This window comes from Homo sapiens, chromosome 6 (assembly GCF_000001405.40).
Source record: "Homo sapiens chromosome 6, GRCh38.p14 Primary Assembly".
Taxonomy (NCBI): Eukaryota; Metazoa; Chordata; class Mammalia; order Primates; family Hominidae; genus Homo; species Homo sapiens.
In genome coordinates, this window is record NC_000006.12 from 149559830 (window position 1) to 149566034 (window position 6205).

At 41.4% G+C, this 6205-nt stretch overlaps 2 annotated features.

Moving 5' to 3' along the window:
• Positions 1037-1086: a silencer, noted in NCBI's record as "silent region_17662". NCBI's record gives its function as "represses an Ori minimal core promoter by ATAC-STARR-seq in GM12878 lymphoblastoid cells {active_cell/tissue: GM12878}" and the evidence as "EXISTENCE:reporter gene assay evidence [ECO:0000049][PMID:35858748]".
• Positions 5713-5842: an enhancer, noted in NCBI's record as "active region_25263". NCBI's record gives its function as "activates an Ori minimal core promoter by ATAC-STARR-seq in GM12878 lymphoblastoid cells {active_cell/tissue: GM12878}" and the evidence as "EXISTENCE:reporter gene assay evidence [ECO:0000049][PMID:35858748]".

The window sequence follows — 6205 nt, forward strand, 5'->3', positions numbered from 1 at the left end:
AACATAGCAAGACCCTGGGCAACATAGCAAGACCCTGTCCCTTATTTTTTTTTAAAGTCGGCAAAGAACATAAATAGACATTTCTCAGAAAAAGACATACAAATGTCCAACAGATATATGAAAAAATGCTCAACATCTCTAACTGTCACAGAAATGCAAAGCAAAACCACAATGAGATATCTTACCATTTGGAATGGCTATGATTAAAAAGACAAAAAATAACAGATGTTGGCAATGATGCAGAGAAAAAAACTTTTATACACTGGGAGAATGTAAATTAGTATAGCCACTGTGGAAAACAGTATGGATATTTCTCGAAAAACTAAAATAGAATTACCATTCAATCCAGCAATCCCACTGCTGGCTATCTACCTGAGGAAAAAGAAATCAATATATCAAAGGAATACCTGCACTCACATGTTTATTTCACCACTATTCACAATAGAAATATAGAGGATCAACCTCAGTGTCCATCAACAGATGAACAGATAAAAAAAAGATATATATACACAATTGAATACTATTTGGTTATTAAAAAGAATGAAATAATGTCATTTATAGCAACATGGATGGAACTGGAGGTCATTATCTTAAGTAAAATATGCCAGGCACAGAAAGAAAAAATATTGCATGTTCTCATTTACATGTGGGAGCTAAACAATTGGACCACATGGAGGTAGACAATGGAAAGGTAGATGACAAAAACTGGGTAAGGTGAGTGAGGGGGAAAGGGAAGGATGAAGTCAAGTGGGTTAAAGGGTATAAACATACAGTTAGATAGAAGAAATAAATTCAATGTTTGATAGAAGAGTTGGGTGATGTTAGTCAAACAAAAATGTACTATACTCAGGTGATACGTACCCTACATACCCTGAATTGATCACTATACACTACATACATATAACAAAGTTTCACATATACCCCATAAATCTGTACAAACATAAATAAATAAAAACACAAATAGATTGGTTGGGTTGTATATGAGAGGTGCACTCCCAGAGGTGCCCACCAGGGCATGAGCTCTGGATTGGCTGTGTTGTATATGAGATGTAAACTCCCAGAGGTGCCCAGGGAAGTAGTTTGCGATTTCTAGGAATTAGCTAACCCTCGGAGCAGCAGTGTCTCCAGGGCCAGCAAGGCCCCAGGTGCCGTAACATCAAGAATACAGAAAATAGGCAAATACAGTTAATACATATGGCTATGAAGTTGCCTGTCATTTTAGCACCAACTGAGGTAAACAATGATAAAGTGAGGCTTTTATATTCTAGTGAATTAAATAAAGTGAATCCTGACTTAAAAGAAGAAAATCCACTCCCAAGAGGGAAATCCACTGAAGGCAGAGGAAAGACACCCTACACTCTGCTTCTGCTTCCAAGTGGAGGCTTCTTTCATTTCTAAAGGTGATTTAAAAAGTCAAATAAGGCTGGGCACGGTGGCTCACACCTGTAATCCCAGCACTTTGGGAGGCTGAGGCAGGTGGATCATGACATGGTCAGGAGTTCAAGACCAGCCTGGCCAACATGGTGAAACCCCGTCTCTACTAAAAATACAAAAATTAGCCAGGTGTGGTGGCAGGCACCTGTAATCCCAGCTAGTCGGGAGGCTGAGGCAGGAGAATTGCTTGAACCCGGGAGTTGGAGGTTGCAGTGCGCTGAGATCGTGCCACTGCACTCCAGCCTGGGTGACAGAGCAAGACTCCATCTCAGAAAAAAAAAAAAAAGTCAAATAAGACAAATGAAAATGGCATCTTACCACAAATATAACCTACTTATCTGGGTTACTGAATATGAAATGATCTCTAAACAAACTCTTCTTGCAGTATCTGTTACAGATGTTCTATTTTTTAAAACCTGAAACCTGATAAGATTTCTTATTCCTTAGGATACTTATTTTAATCTTTTTTTTTTTTTTTTCAAGGCGGAGTCTCGCTGTGTCGCCCAGGCTGGAGTACAGTGGCTAGATCTCGGCTCACTGCAAGCTCTGCCTCCCGAGTTCATGCCATTCTCCTGCCTCAGCCTCCCGAGTAGCTGGGACTACAGGCGCCTGCCACCACGCCCGGCTAATTTTTTGTATTTTTAGTAAAGACAGGGTTTCACCGTGTTAGCCAGCATGGTCTCGACCTCCTGACCTCGTGATCCGCCTGCCTCAGCCTCCCAAAGTTCTGGGATTACAGGGGTGAGCCACCGCGCCCGGCCCTTTAATCTTTTATCTTCAGGATTTTTATTAGGGTACCAAATATTAAATTATAGTATGATTTTTAGCATCCTTGAGTACAAACGTCTCTGCAGATTTTCAGGTTGTTGAAACTAGTTAGCTGAGGGAGCAGAGAGCAGGGTCTGCATCTTGGCCCTGGAGCCCCTCTAGCTCCTGTGATGGTGGAGAAGGCATAGCTCTCTTACACTTTACTGTTTCTCCATTTCTCCCAACACAGCTTATATATATATATATATATATATATATATATATATATATATATATATATATATATTTTTTTTTTTTTTTTTTAAGACGAAGTTTCACTCTTGTTGCCCAGGCTGGAGTGCAATGGCGCGATCTCGGCTCACCGCAACCTCTGCCTCCCGGGTTCAAGCAATTCTCCCGCCCCAGCCTCCTGAGTACCTGGGATTACAGGCATGCGCCACCACGCCCAGCTAATTTTTGTGTTGTTAATAGAGACGGGGTTTCTTGAACTCCCGGCTGGCCTCGAACTCCCGACCTCAGGTGATCCGCCTGCCTCCACCTCCCAAAGTGCAACCCAGCTCATATTTTTAGAAAGCTAATGAGTAGAATAATTTATAATCATCTCTATAAATGTATATAAATTAACTAAATGCCTTTTGTTTCATTATACTGTGTTGGCTTAGAATGCCAGAGTTTAAAACCACAGCTTCATCATTTACTGTTCTGTAACTCAGAGAAAAACACTTAATTTCTATAAATTTCTGTTTTGTATATAAAAATGGGATAATAAATTGTAATCATGTCATTAGGCTGTTATAAGGTTTAAATAATATACATAAAGCACTTAACACAATTAGCATAATAAATGCTGGCTACTACAATGATAATATTTCTATGAGTTGTTCTTCATATGAGAGGCATCACCCATCATTATGAGCTAATTAAATTCATTCATAAATATATGGACAAGAAAGTTACAGCAAAAGCAGTTTTAAAATATTTTAGGCCAGGCACAGTGGCTCATGACTGTAATCCCAGCACTTTGGGAGGCCGAGGCAGGTGGATCACCTGAGTTCAGGAGTTTGAGACCAGCCTGGCCAACGTGGTGAAACTCCGTCTCTATTAAAAATACAAAAATTAGCTGGGCGTGGTGGTGGGCACCTGTTATCCCAGCTACTTGGGAGGTTGAGGCAGGAGAATCGCTTGAACCTGGGAGGAGGAGGTTGCGTGAGCTGAGATTGTGCCATTGCACCCTAGCCTTGGTGACAAGAATGAAACTCTTGTCTCAAAAAAAAAAAAAAAAAAAAAAAGTGGCTCATGCCTGTAATCCCAACATTTTGGAAGGCCGAGGCAGGAGGATTGCTTCAGCTCAGGAATTCAAGACCAACCTGGGCAAGCTAGCAAGCCCTCGTCTTCACTTAAAAAAAAAAATTAGCAGGGCATGGGGGCATGTGCCTACAGTCCCAGCTACTCAGGAGTCTGAGGTAGGAAGATGGCTTCAGCTCAGGAGGTCAAGGCTGCAGTGAGCCATGATCTATCTTGCCATGGCACTCCAGCCTGGGTGTCAAAGCAAGACCCTGTCTCAAAAAAATAAAATATAATATCTTTGTTTCTTGCTCTCCCTCTTGTCATCTTCTAGGGGTCTTTCAAAAAGTTCAAAAATATGTAGATGACTAACTCTGGAAAATACTGGAGTAGACTGTGTTGTAATAGAAGTGCAGTGACTCACTCACTCCCAGAAACTGGAAACAGATACAAATCAGGTCCCAGATTTCCTTTTGGCATCAAGCCTGCTTTAAATTGCAGAAAAAGATGGACTCAAATTTTGATTGTGGGAATGATGAAAATGACAATGAAATCGGCTACTGAAAAAGGAAATATATCAAGGTTTGGAATCAAAAGGTATTATCTGGTGAAAGAATAAAGACATTTTAATATATACTTTGTTTTCTGTAGTATTAGAAATATTTTAGAATATCTTCTCCTATATGAAAGATTACCTTCAAAGAAGAGAAAGCATCTAATGTGCACAGAACCGCAGTGGGTTGCTGTCAGGCAACTTGAACTCTTTTTATGATAGAGGATATCAAGTTGACATGAGCTGACTCAAAGGAACATCAAAGTACTCACCGTATTAACATTGACAGATTTATTTGTCGTGTAAGCAACTGCCAAGTTAATTCTGTCTTTTGTTTCTCAGATTAATGTGAAGGCTCAGTAAACCAAGCTGAGTTTTCCAATGGACAAGTGGAACTCAGCCACAAAGCTTGTTTAAAGTTTTGTTGTAACTCATTAGAGTTGTGGTATGGTGCTTTTTCCCCAAATGATGGGGTTTTTTAAATGAAATTCCGTAGCGCTCATGGGTGCATGTAGCAAAACAATGGCCTAAAGAGAACCATTTCATACAAAACAGTAAAATTTTTGATTATTAAATAATACTGTCAACCACTTAGACATTATTTGTCCAACAAACCCCCACTGAGGGCTTACTCTAGCAAGCTGTTTGCTTTAAGGTTTGGCCACCCTCTTCCTGGAGCTCACATCTATCTGACGAGACAGATAAACAATAAAGAATAATGGACAGTTAGACCATGGGAAAGGCTTTGTAAGAAAACAGAGAGCCTCAACTTTACCTATTATCTTTTCATATAGACGTACTTTGTAACCTTATATTACTAATTCAAATTATACAGATCCACATGTCATGTTTTCTGACTTCCAGATTCTTTTTTTTTTTTTTGGAGACGGAGTCTCGCTCCACCGCGCAGGCTGGAGTGCAATGGCGCGATCTTGGCTCACTGCAACCTTCGCCTCCTGGGTTCAAGCGATTCTCCTGCCTCAGCCTCCCTAGTAGCTGGAATTACAGGTGCGTGCCAGTATGCCTGGATAATTTTTGTATTTTTAGTAGAGATGGGGTTTCACCATGTTGGCCAGGCTATTCTCGAACTCCTGACCTCAAGTGATCCACCCGCCTCGGCCTCCTAAAGTGTTGGGATTACAGGCGTGAGCCACTGCACCCGGCTTCTAGATTCCTTTTTTTTTTTTTTTTTTTAATAGACTCAGGCGATCCTCCTGCCTGCGTTTGCTGCATAGCTGGGAGTACAGGCACAAATGACCACGCCCATCTCCAAATTCATTTTTAATTCCAGCAGTAGGAAAAAAAGGAAAAGGCCAAGTTTGCAGATGGAACCCAGAAGTGTGTGGGGCTTCGCTGTGAAATCACTTGTAGCTTAACAATGGCGTGGGGAATCTCAGAGTAAGCCCGGAGTTAGTTGAAAGGAGTCTTTAGCCAAAACGTTTATAATTTATTCTGGGGCGGGGCCGGGGGAGGGGGCGGTGGCGGTCAGCAGGCCTGTGGGAGGAGGGTGTTCAAAGGAGTAAAGGGGGCTCAAAGAGAGAAATAGATTCTTGTTTCCTTTTTCATGTCAAAAGTTTTATTTCATGTCAAAAGTTTTATTTCAAAGGAAGACTAAATATTACTCTTATTCTGCCTGAATGGCCAAGTTTCCAAGTTTTTCTCAATCAACATGCAATCCTGTTAATCTAAAATGCTTGAATTTCTTGCTACTCTGCTTTACAGGGTTCCGTAACTTTTTTTTTTTTTTAAATCTGCAAGGTGGAAGAAAAGTCTAACACTTTCACTTTAGAGTTACGATACTGACCAAAAAGGCACTGACAGCCCAGGTGCGCTGGCTTCCTTCCAGCTGAGCGCTGTCCCCGCGCCGCCTCCAGGGGTCGGCAGAATGCTGAACAGTAAGCATGGCGCATCCTCAACCTTGGCCCCACAATGAATCACCCGAGAAAATTAAAAAACCACCAGGGCCCGAGCCGCAGCCCAGGCTGGAAAGTGGGGTGTTCAGGAAGACCCCAGTACTTTTTAAAGCTGCCCGGGAGAGTCCCACGTGCAGCCAAGGGTGGGGAATTACCCACTTAATAAAAACTTCCCCTGTAAATGCGATGTTTCATTTTTAATGTATAACAGTTTTCTGAAATATTACCGTTGTTTTCATCGTATAGGTACATG